This window comes from Homo sapiens, chromosome 4, assembly GCF_000001405.40.
Source record: "Homo sapiens chromosome 4, GRCh38.p14 Primary Assembly".
Classification (NCBI taxonomy): domain Eukaryota; kingdom Metazoa; phylum Chordata; class Mammalia; order Primates; family Hominidae; genus Homo; species Homo sapiens.
In genome coordinates, this window is record NC_000004.12 from 51,904,039 (window position 1) to 51,922,692 (window position 18,654).

The 18,654-nt window shown below is 37.8% G+C and overlaps 1 protein-coding gene across 24 annotated transcripts in view; it reads left to right on the forward strand.

Annotated features, from left to right (window-relative positions):
* DCUN1D4 (defective in cullin neddylation 1 domain containing 4) overlaps window positions 1-12,799 on the forward strand; it is an 82,954-nt gene extending 70,155 nt beyond the window's left edge. For 13 of the 24 annotated variants that reach the window (XM_047449871.1, XM_047449872.1, NM_001287757.2 and 10 more), the window contains 3 exons: window positions 7,032-7,136; window positions 9,252-9,354; window positions 9,491-12,799. In XM_047449871.1, the coding sequence (XP_047305827.1) occupies window positions 7,032-7,136; window positions 9,252-9,354; window positions 9,491-9,546 (264 nt within the window). In that variant the 3' untranslated portion in view covers window positions 9,547-12,799. Of the gene's footprint in view, window positions 1-1,150; window positions 1,278-4,881; window positions 4,938-5,119; window positions 5,415-7,031; window positions 7,137-9,251; window positions 9,355-9,490 lie in introns of those variants that run through there. The other 11 variants (NM_015115.4, XM_005265731.4, XM_047449881.1 and 8 more) reach the window with 4 other exon arrangements.
* The last annotated feature ends 5,855 nt before the right edge of the window (window positions 12,800-18,654 follow it).

Below are 18,654 nucleotides of genomic sequence, written 5' to 3' on the forward strand. Positions count from 1 at the left end.
TTTTTTTTTTAATTGGAGCTGGATATTATGAATTTTAGGTATTTGGTTGCTGTGGGTTTTGTTGTATTCCTTTAGATAGCGTTGAGTTTGTTTGTTTTTTAAGTGCATAAATTACCTGGAATCAGCTTGATCCTTTGGAAGGGCTGTCCAAAGCAGTCTTGATAGGGATGATTTGGCCCCACTACTAAGGCAATATTTTTTTTGAGGATTCTACCCAATGCCTTGTGTGCTATGAGATCTTTCCATGCTGACTGGTGGGATTACAAACTGTCCCCAGCCCTGAATAAACCCTGGGGACTTCTGCTCACTCATTTGCAATGTTTCTTTTCAGACTCAGGTTGTTTCTTCACATGTGTATATGGCCAAAGACTGAAGGAGACCACTCTGGAGACCTTCACATCTCTTTGTGTAGTTCCCACCTCACTAGTATTTGGCTGCATAAATTATAGTTATCTTTGCCACCTTGAACTCCAAGCTCTGTCTTTTCCAACTCAGCAAGATTGCTAGGCTCAGTTTTGGGTTCCCCCTCCTTTGCTATGGCCTAGAAACCACCTCCACAGAGTAAGCTGGTATCAACCTGAGGCTTACCTTATTTATTTTCTTTTTCTTGGGGATCACAGTCCTGTGTTGCCTGTTTTTCATCATCTGAAGCCATCATTTCACCTTTTTTGTCCAATTTCCTGGTTGTTTTTAAGTGGAAAGGGAAATCTTACCTGTTAGCCTATCTTGGTTGGAAGAAGAACTCAAACCTCATTTTTTCCCCCTCAAATCTGTTTTTTCCTACTAGAAAAGTGGACTCCTGGAGGTAAAACTCAATTAACCAGCAGTGGACCTTTTAAAAATCACACTTTAATGAAAATTGAGCTTTATGATATAATTTTAATATCCCAAATATTATATTGCAACTGACAATGGTGGTATATATTAAATATTCTGAATTCTGCTTTAATATGCTGGGAAAGAAACTACAGTACAACACCAGAAAATGATAAAATAGCCCCTTTAACAGCTCTCTACCAAAATTGCAGCCCCAAGGGGCTGATCATTTCTTTCTTCCCCTTTGAACCTTGTAGCCAATTTAAAATAGTACTTGGCTATAAAGTTGTGTTATTTTTCTCCTAATTTGTCTTTGACTTGAACTTATTTATAGTTCTATATGATGCTTGAGAGCTGAAAGGATCCTCAGAAGTCATCTGGTCCAGGCCTGTCAATGTAGGATGATGAGATTGAGAGCCAGCGAGGAGGGGCAGCAGCAGGGCCCGCATCTGCCCTTGACGTCCAGGCCAGTGTCCTTCACAGAGCCACATTGCTTTCCCTCCACAAAGCTCTCCTCCCGCTGTGGAATCTTGCTAGAAGAAGACGGTGGAATATACACAAGGGCCAACATGATCAGTTCTCTTCTACAGTTGGAATTTTGCCTCAGTATTTTTATGCATAGGGTTTTTTGCCCTCAATATAAATTTTATTATATAAACAATTGTTGTTATATGGATTCTTTTAAATAAAGCAGCCATTTTTCCTTGCTTCCTTTTTAAAAAAGGACCTAGTGAGAACAAGATTAGATGAAGAGAATAGACTAAAATGCTATATAATTTTTCATTGATCTGAGACTAGTTATAAATATCAGTCCATTGGATGTTTTACCTTCTCTGTGGTGGAGACAAGCTTGCTGGTTCAAGGTTGTGCAGAGGCTGGCGCATGGGATTTGGAGGAGGGTGTGCGCTGATCAGCAGCATTGAGGGCCAGGTGAGAGCAGAGACCACGGATTTGCAGTGCTGTTGTTCTCCACAGAGTAGGATGTGTTTCTAGCATTGCAGTCCTACCTTGATGCAGGAAGGGACAGATTTAGAGTGAGAAGTTTGAGAGGAGCCCTGGTGGAGTGATCGAGGTGAACCAGACAGAATCAGGAAGGAAACAAAGTTAGGAGAAACTGCTAGAGAGGGAGAGAAAGGGAGGCCTTTCAGGAGAAGGGGAACGAGTGAAAGGGAAGATGGAAGGAGGGCACTGGAGAGGTCGCCTTTTCACTTCTTGAAATAAAACCTTAAAGAAGTCGAATGAAGAGTCTTGTGGAGGCAGAACACTCAAGTGGGAATGGCTTTTACTGAGAGGTAATCTTGTGGCAGGTTAGAGAGCAAGTCTGTCAGCCCCTCCATGTACTCTCTTTCCCAGCAGAACGTGCCAGCTGCTCTTCTCCAGTGTTTCTGAGGCTGTGTTTCAGGAAGCTGTAAGCAGCCACACAGGTTCAAGCTGGTACACTGTCCTCTTCTCTGTACCACAATGGCCAAACCAGAAATGATTAGGGATGTTACTCATAGAATTCACTAAGGAAAATTTTGCTAGGTCTTGTGTTCAACAACCCGTGTTATCAGAGAAATCCTCTTGAAGCTTAACCTAAATCTCCTGCAATCATTTGGATTCACTTCCTCTTCTGATGTGAGTCAGCCTTTCATTTGTTAGTTGATGTATTCGTCCAGTTTCCTTCTCCACACAACCCACCCCCAACCTCAAACACACGTGTGTCCACGTGCACACTCATACACTCTCCTCACACTCTCCCTCATACTTCACTGTCATTTACAAAGAAAACAGAAGGTAGGCCTGGGTGACAGTAAGAATAAGAATATGATGGAGTCATCTAAGCCCGGGTCTATTACACTGAAAATCTTAGTTTTATCCTTAAGATTCCTCTTTAGTTGTTGCAGAGCCAGGCATATTTGCTCAGCAGTTACTGATAGAGCCCACTGGCCTGTATGTTTCTTCATATCGAAATCTCTCTTCCTTCCTTACTTCTGAGGGAAGCAGCCTTGGTAGGCAGTGAAGAGCTCCAGCTTAGAATCAGCTTCCTAGCTCAAGTTCCAGCTCTACCATTTATTGATTTTAACTCCTTGTGCCTCAGTTTCCTTATTTATAAATTGGGGATTATAGTAGTCCCTATTTACTAATAGAGGTGAAATGAGTTTAAGTGTAAGGCACTTAGAACAGTTTCTAGCTTGAAGTAAGTTCTCAGGAAAAGTTAACCATAGAATTAGAAATAATTGTTGAATTCTTCACTGATATTACCTAGGTGTCTGCAGACGTCATTTCAAATAATGACATTTTTTTAGAGTAGTGCTTACAGTAGTAGAATCAGATTGTACCAAATAAAATAATAAAGCCTGTGCCAGCTGGCAGATGTTTTCCTTTTGTTTTAAAGGAAGTGTCAAGAATTGAGCTTAATTGATTGCCTTGCAAACATTGTTGTCTCTAAACTAATGTTAGCTAAGTTCTAAGAGCACAATTAAACTCCCGTTCAAAAAATTATTTTGCTGTATTTTTGGTTTCATAAACTGAGCCACAATATTTCAGATATGAGCTTTTTACAGCCCTCTATTTTTATCTTTTGGTTACTTAGGTTAGCTGGGTTAAGGAGGACTGCATTTTCTCTATGTCTGTTTTTCCTGTGGCCTCAATTGGAACACCATGACACATGTAATAGGTCTTCACTTAAGGCCTTTTGATTTCATGTACCAATTTCTGACTTCACCATTTATGTTTGGAATTGTGATTTGCCTGTATATTATTTCTTGATTCCAGCTAGTCTCTCTTGAAAATCTTCTGGGTTTTAATTTTTCCCGTTGAATTTTTTTCTTTGTAATTTTAATAATTCAGGGTTCCTCTTTTCCTCTTTTCATATGTAAGTCTTAAGCTGTAAAGTTTGGTATAAATTGGAAATACATCTTTTGAAATAGTTAGGGGCCTTTGATTTAGCAGATCTGGATACTCAGATGTTTAAAGGTTCATTTTTGTAATATATTTCTATTTACATGTTTACAGTTAACTATTTTGTTTCAGTTGTTAAGTCATTTGTGTCATCTAAGAAAAAAATGCTCAATTGTCACCTTTTAGAGGAGAACCTATACTGAAACAGTAGTATGTGAACAAAGGCACTGGTTTTTTATTTCATACTAGAACTCTAAATCAGATTGTAATAAAATTTCACTGTTCTCTACACTAGCTCTTAGTCTTTAGCTTATGGAGTATATTTATTCCATTTATAAAATATAACGTAGAATATTTAGAGTAGGATCCTTTGGTTTTGCAGCTGTACTATATCATTCTATAACTTCTATTTTTAATCTGCATTAAGGAAGACCACAAAGTAGAATCTAGTTGTATATTGTGGGGGATTGGTATATCTTTCGTGTATAGAGCCTGTTCAGTTTGTATTATTATTTGAAAAATGACACAAAATTCCGTTGCTTTTTATCTTAGTAAATTAAAGTTTATGAAATACCTACATACACATTTTGGGTCAAGAGGTGGGTAGGGAGAGATGTTTTCATTTCCTTCTCCTTTAACCTTGATGGGCCTTCTGGGGATGCTGGTTGGCTCTTGGCAGGCTCTCAAGGTACCTTCTGTCTAATTCTGACCTTGGGATCCAGGAATCTATTGGTCTGCCCCTTGCTCCTTGGTGCTCCATGAGCAGAGAGTCACAGGATTTGTGTTGACAGCGTATAATTTTAATTTCTTACAAAGAGCTTTTGGATGTCTTTACTCCTTGAATTTGTTACGGTGATTTTTTTTTTTTAAATGCCTATAAAGTTGATGGCTGCCTGATAGCATCCTGGGAGATTCATTTCACTTTTAATTGGGAACCCCTTTGCAGAGAATGTCATTAGGATCATTGTTGTCAGAGAACCCCCTGCGAGTGTCTCCAATTTTGATGTTTAGTAGATGTTTGCTGTGGGAGCTCTCGACTGTTGTTCCCGGGAATTTTTAGTGTTTCCAGTCATGGTCATTTGCACATAGCCACAAGTCCACTCACAGGAAATGTTGGTTATCAGTGAGATGCCACTATTCAGATTGTGAGTGCATCCATAATATCTTTCTCTTATTTGCTAGGCCGAAGATGGTGTTAGTGATTGCGAGCTGCTGGCTGGCACCCTTGCAGAGCAGGAGTAAGTGAGTGCTGTTCAGCTTTCCAGTCCTGTGAGTCTGATGCCTTTCCTCCGTGTTTTGGCATCACTGCCAAACATATGCATTGAAATCCTTCATGATCATCAGTTTGTCAGATGATTATATTGTTGCAAAGAGTCTGTCCAGGTCTTTTGTATCTTTTTTTTCTTTTTTGTCACCTTAGTGTATGTCCATTGTGACGGGGACATAGGTATTGATGATGGTGGAAGAAGGCACAATATATATCACAGCAAGACTAGAGATTTGGGGTTTAGTGAATGATTACAAACTCTGCAAAGGGAAAACTCTTCCAGAGCGCCAGTGTTGTCAGCCCAGTGCTGCATAAGCTGTTGTTCAACAAATGGACTTTGGCCGAGTCCTGTGGTGCCGCGTGTGTTTCTCAACAGTTTACTCGTTTATCTTGTGGATTGCTTCATAGTATGGTGTGCTGTTGCCGTCTGCCACACCTGTGTTACAGGGTAAGAGGAAGTTTTCCATTTGCTTGCACAGTGTCATCACAGAAGTGTAAGCCCTTGAAACACAACAAACCAATGCAGTTTGTCTGGCAAAAGGCAGGCAGTCTCTAGATCACCTCTTCTCCTGTCCTCTTCTCCATTGGGAGTGCGTACTGCAGCCCTGAGCAGGACAATACATATGGCCAAGGGACAGGCAGAGAACCCTGTGGAAAGGAGGTCCCACCTGTTTGCATAGAACTGTGGAACTGGGATACACCTGCCCTCATCAGACTTAAGTTATGTGACCTCTGAAAGAAGGGTGATGTGGAGCCATCTGACCTGGTCTATTCATGGACAGTCGTTACACTTCACAACTGAGACCAAAAGGCCAGATCTATTGCACATCTTCCTTAGGCAACAAGTTTCCTTGTCTTCATCTACCTTGATTGTTGTTGTTAAGTGAGGCCCTTACATTTGCTGTATTAAGTCCCAATTCAGGGTCATGGCTAGAAATGGTTTGTATACTAAAGAGTACCTCACTGTTAAGCGTCCTTGCAGTGATGATTTATTTTATCAGGAGGTATATATGGCTGCATATGTGGCTTAGGGTGGTGGTCACAGCATCATCCCTTAATTTGAACATTTAGATTCCACTGCACTGGGCTAGCCAGGCACTTTCTCCCTTTGTAAAAAACTACTTTTACAAATTTCCACTGTAGTTAAGATAACACATGGAGGCTAGCTTTGGATATGTAAGGTATGCTTATGGTCCCAGGCCCTCTATTCCTTTCCATGGAAACTGACCGCTTGTAGTTCTGGAATGGAAGCATATAAGAAAGACGGAAATGAGAAATTAGGATCCTTAATTGCAAATGTAAGTGGAATGAGCTTACCCTGCCCTTATTTAGGTTTATGTTCTTATCTTTTTTTCTGGTGTCCTTATGAAATGTTGTCTTTCACTTGGTTACTAGTTAGGAGTATTTTACTAGGAAATTTACGTCTAAGAAATCTATCTATCTATCTGTCTATTGAAGGACTGTATTGATAGACTTCCTGCCTTCCACCAGAGTGGGTAGATGAATCTATCCTCTGATTTAGAGAGACACTTCAGAGCCCCAGCATTTGGTATGAGCTGAAGTCAATTCCAGCATGTTTAGGTTCAAGAAAAATATTTATCAATGAAATCAAATTGATTTCGTTTTTATTAAGGAAACCTGATTCCTAATCATAGGCATCAAAACCTTTAAGCTCCGTTGAGTTATAGGCTTTATGGTCAACAATTAGGATTTTGATAATTATCATAAATATCAAACAAGCAAGTGATTGAGTTACAAGTTTTTATTAATCCCATGAAAAGCCTGTAGAAACTGCTACGACATAACTAATTGATTTTGCATTAGGGTGATCATTCAGTTGACATAAATCTTTCTCACAGTAAATTTATATAATATCGTAATGCCCAAGCCTTCCATTGTGTTTGACTACCTCCCCTCCCTAACCTTAGTCTGGATGCAGGGTCTTTAAGGTGTATGATAAATGAGCTGTTTACTAATTTCCTGTTGAAGTGAATACACATTTGCAATTATTGGAATTTATTATTTGGGGGCATCTGGCTCATCCTTGTTTTTGTTTGTTAAACAGGAAAAGGACCAGCGCAGCCTAGACATAAACACTGCCAAGTGCATGTTGGGACTGTTATTAGGAAAAATCTGGCCCCTTTTTCCAGTTTTTCACCAATTCTTAGAGGTACCAAATTGTTGTTTTATGAAATGTATGTTTGCTTGCTTGGAACTACCAAATAACTTTATTCACCCGTTGTATGTAATTTTTTGTTTGTTGTACTTTTCTGCCTATGTAGGAATTACGGTGACATAATTGCTGTCAGTCAGCAGCTACCTATCTTCTTGGAGTGCATCTGTGTATGCGTTTAATGTTGTGTTGCTTCATTCCACATTAAAAATGCATCCGAAACAGCCACAGCTCTGTCCTTTTCTCTCTTTTCTCATCCCCATTTTAAAGCTTCACTTTTGTTTAGATTTTCTGTTCTTTGTAACAATAGAAAAAGAAGATTTACTTTCTTTTGACTTTAGATGAACTTCCACTTTTATTAAGCAGAGGTTTAAAAGACAGTCATCTGCCTTCTTACCAAAATTAGTTTGTAGTATGTTCTTATCTACTCTTGTCACCAAGTAACTTGAGGACCTTAGATCAATCTAAGTATTAGGCAGACTGACAATATCTCCTTCAGTTTAAATTGTCTTCAGATCAGTATCAGAACAATCCAGCACTTTATTCCATCATTGTTTGTGTGCTTTTAAGTATTGATGATCAGAAATTCTGAGCTACTGGTTTTGTTGAAGTGTCATTCTGTGGGACCTGGAAGTATATGGGATACAAGTTTGAGTTACTTGGGTTGTCATATATGGCATCCTCCTTTCCCTCCTGCCCCAAGCCCTTCTAAAAAGTGTCCTTTGCTTGCAAGGATGAGGGTGTTGGGTCTTTGAGAAAATGCTGGGCCGTAAGATGACTCTGGCTTCACTCTTGAATAATCTTTCTCACAACTTACTTTATGTAATGGTCCAGAATATTTTTAATATCTGATAGGATTCTTTGAGAACTGTTATTAAAAATTTCTTTTAACATTACTAAGTGGGACTCCTCAAAAATTTAAAAACTAGTTTTACGTAAGTATCTGTTTACCCAAAATAGTCCATGTTGACATATGGTCTGTTCTAATTTCTCTGACAATCCCTTGAGATGAGTTAGCATTATTTGGAAAAATAAATAGAAATAGTTCCCTGTTCTCAGAGAGTTTAGCTGGATTTACACCTGTGTGTAAAGAGTCTTAAGCTGGAAGACCTGGCCTGGAGGAAATCTGACTTTGTGTAATTCCAGGTGCATCATCAACTGTTTCAGGACTGGTTTTTGCTTTTACCTGCTTAGAAAGTTAAACTTGTAGTCTGTGCTTTGTTCTCTCTCTTACATTAGTTTGCATTTTTCTTTAAAAAAGACAGTATTCCTCTCATTTCAGCTTTTCTTGTGTTTGCATCCTCAAAACCATTGACTCAACTCTCTTTGCTTTTTATGTACTTGTATTGTTTTACTATGTTTCTGATTTTAGTGGGGAAGATTTAAAAATCATTGGTTCTGGATTTTATTTATGAATCTTCATACAGGGATACTGTATTTTTAAATAGACACATGGCAAATTTCTCGTCTAAGAGGAATAGAAAAACGATTTCACAGCTATTCTAGCTTCTTTTATGATCAGATTCGAGTTTTGAATTATTAGAACAGTAATTTTTTTCTGTGACAAGAACACCTAATTTTGAGACCACTTGCAGCACTTACCGGATCTCGTCAAGTAACCTGCTGCTGCATGTGCTTTAAGCCGAAGGCTTGGCCATGGGCAGTGCTGGTTATGTCAGGGGTTATATTAATGGGAGCTACTCTTTATTTAGCACTTACTTTGTGCCAAACACTGAATGAAGTGCTTCACATAAATTAGTAAATGATCTCTTTTAATTCTTATAATATCTTTATGAAGTAGATATTATCTGCATTTTATATAAAATGGCTTTTGCAGTTTAGAATTTTCACTTCTGGGGATATATAATCATGTTATTTTGATGTGCTTTCCATTTTGTATTGAGACCCTGTCATATTTTTGTAATGACAATTGTCATCTTAAATTCTACTCTTGCTCTCCCTCACCATCCTCCTAGATTGGTGCTTAACAAACCTCAAACAGAAAGAGTTAACCTTACATGAACTTAATTAAGTTGATTCATAAAGCAATTGAAACCGTCCCATTTGTTCATTTTAAGTGTCAGTAATTCATATTACTTTTCCCTCCATCAGCAATCAAAATACAAAGTTATTAATAAAGACCAGTGGTGCAATGTCCTAGAGTTTAGCAGAACAATTAATCTTGACCTCAGCAACTATGATGAAGATGGAGCATGTAAGTACTGCCGCTACCATTCTGCCATTCGTGTACATTTCTATATCATCCTCATTGGGAAAAGCCTCAGCTACATTACTATTATTATTATTGTTATTATTATTATTATTACTACTGTTTCTCTCTTTCTCTCCAGGGCCAGTTTTGTTGGACGAGTTTGTGGAGTGGTATAAAGACAAACAGATGTCCTAGGACTTTATGCATAGCAGCGAGAGAGTCACTGTTACCACAGTTTTGTCACCCATTAGCCATAAATTGCTGTTTGTATCAAAGCGCATGCTGCTTCTCTTGCACTGTTTCCCTTTCGCAGGGACATGTTGGTGTTTGCTATTGAATTGGCCAGCTCTGCTTGCTGTGTGGCATTGTTCTCTTGGAAGGCTGCTTTGCAGTTTGTATTTACACTACAGATTGGTGAATTTGCCAACGTCCTCACTGTGATTATGTGTATATTGCTGTTTAAATTTTGTATATGTGTATAAAAGGAAAAAGGTTCACCTAGAGATTATTTCTGAAAAATGTATTGTAAAAATAATTTTGTGGCATTTCTAGTCCCTTTTTTTGAATGAACCAATTATACTTTATTTGGTCTCCTATGTAGCATTTCAGAAAACAAGAGAAAACTGTTACCATGAACAAACATTGCCAGAATTAACCTTACTGTTTAAGAGGCCAACTTCTGGAAGGAGGTAGGAGTCATAACTTTTTAGAGGCATATGCCAAATATCATTTGGTATACTTAACAATATTAGTGTTTTAAAATGATGAGTTATAATTATTTGAACATATAGATATGTAACATGCCACAAATCATTTCTACCATGCAAGGTGTATAAGTTGTTTATTTTTTAGTGTTAAAACTATAATAGCTTGAATATAGGTACCAATGAACAAATTCAAATTGCACCTCTTTTCTTAAAAGAATGGGATTTAAACTCTTATAAACATTCTTTAACTTTTTTGTTTGTTTGTTCTCTTTTTTTCCTTTTGCATTCTTCTAGCCAGTGATTGATCTGCTAATGCTTTCTTTGCCACTCTAAGTAAAATTTATTTCACCTCCTCAATGAAAACCTCATGGTTTTGCTGGCTGTTTATAACTGCATCGCACTTCTAGTTGTGGCTTGAATTTTCAGTTAAGCTTTCATGGTATGTAATTTTCCAGCCTTTTGAGAAAACAAGCATACTATAAGTGAGAGCTGTTTTGTTTTCCTTGTTTGTTTGTTTCATGCTAGGCTTTTCCTGGCAGCATGTCCATTGCAGGCAGTGGACAAGAAACCACCAGCATTGAGCTAACCCAGTACATGCTAGGACCTGTCCTAGAGGGGCCACTTTTCATTACCTGAGTTATTTGTACAGAAGGGCAATAGCCATTATTTTTGTGGATGAGGAAACAAGAATAAACAGAATGGTATTTTTAGGTTTGTATTTTATGTCTTTTTTTTTTTTTTTTTTTGCCATTCTTGAGGAAATATAGAGATGACATGTTTTCACCCCAACTATCTGGTGCTATTGAATGACTAATTCAGTCCCTAAAGTTCTGTGAAAACACAAAAGTCTAATGATTTGAGTGAGTAAAAGGTAATGGTGCATTTGAACAAGTAAATGCTGTCGTGGTCAGCAAGATCCGTGATTTGAACATGTGATGACTGGAAAAAGGTTTGGGTTATTTGGAACTCTGGCTAAAACTTCTTTCGGGTGACATGTGATCGTTTAAATGGCATTAAGTGAATAAAGCACACAGACAGTGCTACTCTTGACCACTATTTTACCATTTCTTTGCAAACAGTGTTCACATTTTCATATTTTTTCCCTAACTAAACCACCAAAGAAAGAAATTTTGTATGTATATACAGTGTGTGTGTATACAAAATCATGATATAGTAGAATGCAACTACTTTCTTTTTCTACCAAACGAAAGGTTTTATTTGCTGTGAAATAAACCAGAAGTTTAAAAAACCCTGTAGTGATTAAGCATACTTAACCACTCCTTATTTGTAGATTCACTTTCAACCTTAAAAATTAATACCAGTTTGCATAAACCAATATCTGAAAAGAACAGGAAATGTTAATGGCAAGCAACAGCTATTAATACTGATGTGATGGATGCATTTGTTTTGCAGTGGTGACTGGCCTAGGCAGGTTTGGATCTGTGAAGAATTGATTCATTTTCAAAATTATTCCATAAAGTTAAAAAGTTACACTTTAAAGGCAACAGGTCATACAGTTCTTTAAATCTGATCAACTGTAGCTTTATTTAAAGCAAATATAAATCATAGATGAAGTTATTTTAAACACTATGTTAGAATATAGAGATTTTTAAAAAATGCTGATAAGCACAGTTAATTCTAAAATGAGAGGATTGTTACAGGAGGGAGATGTTACAGTTAATCCACAATCAACATTTTGATGGTAGGGAAAAAACTGCGTAAAAACTATTGCATTATGTATGATAAGAAAGTAAGTATTCCAAAGGGATAATCTTGCATATTAAGAAAACTCCAAATAATCTTTAAACTGCCTTGAAAAATAAACCTCTTTGACTGCTGAGCGGCAGAGTGCTTACCCTTGATTGTCTTGATTTTATATATTTATTTCTAAGGGGAGAAAAAGGGGTCAGACAGAGTAATATGATACATTTTCTTAAAAACTTCTCTAAGTTGCACAAAACTGAACAATCATCAAGCACTTATTTACTGGCTAATGTTGAATAAATTAGGGTGCCTTCATCTGGGTTTTCTTTAGTACCTAAGTCTACAACCCTTTCTCTTTTTCTATTGTGTTTCGAACTCCACATTGCAATACTCTGTTGTCATGGAATACAACCTTTAGATGTTTACTGCTGAAGTAGGTCAGAAATTGTATTATTTGATTTGCCTCAAACATCCACTGTAATGTTACATGCACCTTTTTTGAAGCATGAACTCTGAATTATGTTTTTATAAATCTGACTAGGCAAACCTAGATTCTGGTTTCACAATGGATTTATTTTCTCTCTCAGTCTCCATTTTAACAGTGCTTTTGAAGTTTATACAGAAAGCTTTAAAAGTTAGTTTGTGCCCTTGGTTTTTATTCTTAAAACTGCTAAAATACCTCTGTAAGCCTTATCCTTTATTCTTTCATATGTTGTATAATAAATGTATAGATTTCATTGACCAACTAAAATGTTGGGTGTCTGTAAATGAGACCAAAACGTGGGTTGCTTTTTTCATAAAATAATTTCTATTGGGGGTTACTGTTCAATGACAGCAGGTAACCTATAACTGTGAATGCTTCGTGTCGTCAGTATTTGCATTACATTCATAAAAGTGTGCAAGTCCTGTGACTCCCAGCTTAACTGAAATACTGTTATGCCACCTAACTTGAGTACAGCAAACTGGTTTTAGGTTTCAATGACATTGATGTAAAATGATATCCCATGAATAAAAAGTATTTGTGTTTGGTTTCAGAACAGATGTGTAAATTTTTTCTTCTCTCTTCTGGCTTTCATTTCAAAAACCATTTAAGGTAGTCTTTAAAGCATTTTTTATCCTTTTTTGTTTGTTTTTTTTCCAACTTCTTCTATTGAAAATTTCCAAAGCTACAATAATATAATGAACAACTGTGTACCTGTCACTTAGATTTTCCAGTTGTTAACATTTTACTGTATTTCCTGCCTTACTCTTGGGCTATACGTGTGTGTACTTCTCACATTCTGTAAATAGATTCTGAGAGTAAATTACATTATGACACATCACACCTGTTAATTTGGAATAAGGGCATTCACCTATAACCATGATAAAATGATCACACTCAAGAAGTTTAATGGTGGTACTATACTATAATAAACAGTGCAGATTTAAGTATCTCCATTTGTGCCAGTCATGTTCTTGATAGCTATTATCTTTTTAATCCAGGGATAAGCATTGTATTTAGTTGTTACGCCTCTTTAGTCTCTTTTAATCTAGAACACTTTCAGATACAGTATTTTAAATGTTTTGATTAAAGATAGTGCAGTCACTCCTCAGCCAAATAGTGATTTTAAAAAAACCCACCATGTTTTGTGTATTTCTACACATTGAGCTAAAGAATTAAGTACATAATGTGGGCCACAAGCTAGGCAGGAATGACCACTTTACTACCCTCAAGGCTGCCACGCAATTAGTCTATAAGTGTGTGTTAGCCCTGGCTACCCCTTTCTAAAATTGTCTTACACTATACTAGAATGTAAGCTTTCTGAGGGCAGGACCTCTGGCACGTAGTGGATGGCCAGAAAATGGAAGGAAGCAGGTAACAGAATTTCCTCTCTGGGCAAAGAATTGTCAGGACCTAAGAAACATGTAAAGATTAGAAAATCCAAGAATAAATCGAGGAAGACTTTTGATTTTTATACGCTTGAAAGCAAGAGAGAGGAAGTAGAAAATAAGATTCCTTAGAATCCAGGTGCACGCTGTTAAAATTGTCAATGTGGATGATTCTTTAAACCATAATTTGGGCCAAAAGCTGAGCATCACACCAAGAAAATATCTCTGCTTCTAGACATCAAGAAAGAGAGGTGGAGATAAAGGAAAAAACTTAATCCCGAATTGATAGGAGTGAGAGACAACAAACCTTAGGACAGGGAATTCTTAACTTGTGGCAGAGCAAACAGTAGAAACTCATGAGACGTGTTATCCAATAATAGAAAATAGGAACATGAGATTTATTCCACTAGACAGTACTAGGACTCTACATGTAAACTCATGGGAATTGAAATAAAGTTCTCTGCTGTAATTGGAGCAAGATAGACTGAGGAGAGAGTAAACCACGAATGCTGGCTCAAGACAAAAAACCTAGCAGAGGTGCATTGCAGACATACCCATGAAGGAAAAACTTACACAAGGTCACCCTAAAGGAAGGACATTGTTAAGCCCTTTGAAATAATGGGGTGGAGAGGAAAATGAACTGAAAAAATGAAAAACACCCACAGGAAGAAATCAAAGACGATTGTGTCAACCCCAGGGCTACAGAAGTGAGGAATAAAATTGGCTATTTCCGGACACTGACTTTCTTGATTTGTTGAACATACGTGAAAGCAGGACATGCCATGGTCGCTGGTTGCATCAAATAGAAATGACTCATTGGAATGTTACCTCCAAATCCTTACATGAAGAGTAAGCAAAAGATGAAAGCTTTTATGATTCCTTTAGAAAAGAATTGCTTTTGGGACTTTATCATAGCTAGAAAAAAAAAAAATATATCAAGCGAAGAAATAACACATCAAGCTTTCTGGCCCGGTAAGGCAGAAGGTAATTCAAAATCGGGCATGTTCACCACTTTTGGCACATTCAGCAGAAAAATGTTTAGTTTTTTCTCTGCCAGAATTTGTTCCTAGCATTTATTTCCAATTGCCTTAACGAAAATAAAATCATCCCATGTATAGAAGTACTTGCTTAGAAATCATGGTGAATTAGTACGTAGGCTATGCTGAGAATAATAATTGGAAACTGAAAAACAAAGATTGACTATAGTAATTAAATGGAAACTTTAAAAACCATCATTTAAAATGTAAATCTCTTCTCCAATAAGTGTATTCGGTCCTTTGAAAGAAACTCCTTTGCAATCACTCTCTGAAAAATATAGATTGTAAAGAATCCTGGCTGTGAGAAAGGAAGCTGAAAAGGGTTTGTTTTTCCCTCTGACACTTTCCAGCAGAGACATCTCAGAATTGCCTAAGTGTGAATATCTAAAATTACAAACTAGTGTTCTCTAGAAATCTTAGGATACATGTGTGATGATAAAGAGAGCTACAGCTGTACTCATTACCAGTGAAATAACTCATGAAAAAGTTTTGGGCCAACTTTCGATAGCATGTTGAAAGCCACTGCGTTTTCTTTGTCTCTACTTGCTTATTGTTCATTTTTGCTTCATTACCTATGGTGGCTTCTCTGTATCCCATAGTGAGAGTAGGGCCTGGACAAGGTTTGTAATCCTATCACACTTCCAAAATTATTGAATAAAATAATAGATGCCTTCTAGCAACCTGTTCCATGTGTCTGTGTTCTGTGTGTCTCAAAGTGCTCATAAATCCTTCAAGTCCTTATTTTGCCTACATCAGGGTTGATTTTCAGATTCTCAATATAATCATTGTATCAACAAACTTTAATTGTGTGTTAGGCCGAATTCCTATGTGAAATTGGTAACACAGGCATTAAAGTTTACAAGAGTGCATAGAGGAAACTGGAATAATAGAAAATCAACAGACTAAAGAATTAGGAAAGACCTATGAATGGGAGGCCTATGCCCACTGAGTGTCAGTGCCTTCAGACACTTAGCAATGGTAGACCAGAAACACACCAACTGGGTTAGAGCTGAGAGTTCCTTTTGGAGAGTAAGGTACAATAGGAAGAGATCAGGAATCGGTGTAGGGCTCTCCTTAGATGCCACAGTGCACACTCATGGATCTGGTTTTGATAGTTGATGCTCCAGCACCTGAATGGGTCAGCAAGCTCTAATGGGTTTTAGAGATGTAGTCAAGAAGGCCAGTTGGTTGCTTATTGATATCATTTAGCTCCTTTGAGAAAAAGTGTCCAGACAATGTGCTTTACACTGATCTCCTTGAACACCTTTCAACACTTACGTGAAGTATGTAGAGGAACCTGAAGTTGAGGGAATTTAAATAACTGGTCTAAAGTCACATAGCTGGAAAGTTGGGAAGCTGAGGTTGAAGCTAAAGTCTGTCTCCACCCCAGCACCTTGGGGAGCCCCAAGAGATAAACCAAAGTTTGACAAGAGCCAAGAAGATTGAGGTCTGTAAGTGTGTTTGCTGTCTAGCTCATTCAAGGTCTCCTAGTGCCCTTAACAGGAAATCCCCTCTCTCCAACCCAAGGCCCTGGCATCCACTGAGTTCTAATTTTTTCTCATTTGCTGGGATGTCATATATATGGAATCCTATGTGACGTAGCATTTTGTTTTTGCTTGTTTCACTTATTATGCTTTTCAGATTTAGCCATGCACTATTGATTCATTGCTTTTTATTGCCGAGCAGTGTTCCATTGAATGGATGTGCTATGAAATGTTGGTGGACATTTGGATTATTTTCAGTTCAGGGCAATTATTAATATTTTTGGGGACATAGGCTTTTCTCTCGACCATTTTGGGATCGAATAGGATTGCTGGGTCATAGGGTAAGTGTATGTTTAATTTTGTAAGAAATTGCCAAGCCATTTTCCGAAGTCATAACCATTTGGCATTTCTATCAACAATGTATGAGAGTTCTAGTGGCTCCCTATATCCTCATCAGCATTTAGTATTTTCAGTTTTTAAAACTTTAGCCATTCTCTTAGGTATGTACTGGATGCTTTCTGACTTGCAAAATATATCAAATACATAATGGTGAGCTAATTAACCCAGGGTTGGTAAATTGATTTATGGTTTGAACAAATTCAGTTTTCTATAACAAACATACTCTGCAGATTAACTGAATAAACATAGTGTCCTGTAACATGTTTTACAAGGTCTGTAGTAACATGTTTCCCAGCTAATGGTTGCAATACTTCAGAGGATAGTAGTTGAGTATTTTGGAATATTTCTTGCTCCTTTTCAGCTCTTGTGAAGAAGAGCTATGATTTGATAACTAGAGATTGTCTATATAGATTTCAATGTAAATAAGATTTTATATTCACTTATCTGGTCCACTTTGTTCACTGTGTCCCTCTAGCCTTCTCTTCCTCATTGGCCCACTCATACGTATTTGGAATTGAAAGGCTGTCACTAAAATTCTTTCCTCTTTAGTTTTGGAGAACTTCTAAGGATAGATCCATTTCGAGAGGCTTATAATTACATTTCACAGTTGACAAAGTGCTTTTTACATAGTCTTTCATTTTAGTCCCACAACCACCCCATAAGGTAGATTTTATTATTTTCATTTAGCAAATGAAAAAAAAAACCAAAGGGGTCACAGAGTTCCAGTGGCTTATTCAAATTCACACTTAGTAATTGAAAGAAGTATGCCTGGAACCTGCATCTTCTAGTTCTGAATCCTATGTACTTTCTTCCATGCCACCCAAACCCCATGCCCTGTGCTTTAGCAGCTTTCCTCTGCGATTAGTGCTAAAAGCCACAGGCCAAGTCAAATGTTGAAGGCCAATTGAGGATGGCCAGGTCTAGCCCTGACATCCTGGAAGCTGCTTTTGGCTCCACTAGGCCCTACCTTCAAAGAGCCTGGAGGATCTCATTGCTGCTCCGAGGAGACGAAGCAGAACATCACTCAAAGGAGTAGAGGAAATGCACAAGGCAGCCCCCAGTATAGTCTGGCCGAAGCCATCTGGGAGCCAGCACAGAAATCTTGACAGCCAAGTACTCAGCAGGCCGGAAAGCAGAAGATGGACCCTGGAGGGACTGACTGTGTGTCAGGCACAGGGTTAGGGACTAGGGATAAGATCTGGTCCCCACTCTTAAGCTTAGACCCATGGAGGAGCTCTGAATGGTTGTACCCTGTTAAGCTTAGGCAGAGGATTCAAAGGGTGCTGTGAGGCAAGGTGGGAGGTTGGGTGGGTTATATTAGTATTCTGAAGAGTAATAGAACCAATAGGGTGTGCGTGTGTGTGTGTACCATATGTAGGTAGAGGGTGGGGTTGTTAAGGAATTAGCTTATGCAGTCATGGAGGCCGAGAAGTCCCAAAACCTGCCAACCACCCATAAGTTCCAGTTTGAGTCTGAAAGCCTGAGAACCAGGAGAACTGGATGTAGTTCCAGTCCAAAAGCCAGCAGACTCAAGACCCGGGAAGAGCCAATGTTTCGTACCAAGTTTGATTGCTGAAAAAATTCATGTTCCAGCTCAAGCAGTCAGGCAGAAAGGGTTCCCTCTTAATCTACTCTTCTTTTCTGTTCAATTCTTCAATTGAATGGATGAGGCCCATCCATATTATTGAGTGCCATCCACTCAAGTCTGCAGATTCAAATGTTAATGTCATTCAGAAACATCCTCACAGACAAACCCAGAAAAATGGGCAAATGTCTGGGCACTCCATGGCCCAGTCAAGTTGAAACACAAAATTAATTATCACAAGTCCACCCTTTGTCAACTTGGAACCTATACACATCTCCTTAAACCATAAACTCCAAATAAAGACGATAACAATGTCATAATTTCACCTAATGAAAATAACTACCTTGCATACAACTGAAAACACACCAACTCCTTTCCCAGAAGAGAAGATGAGGTATTTGAGTGATATTTACTCTTCTCCATAATATCCCATTACTTCAATAATATGATATAAAATTAATACTTAAATACTATTATATCAATACACCTATTACAAGATAAAAGAGAATAAGAGAAGA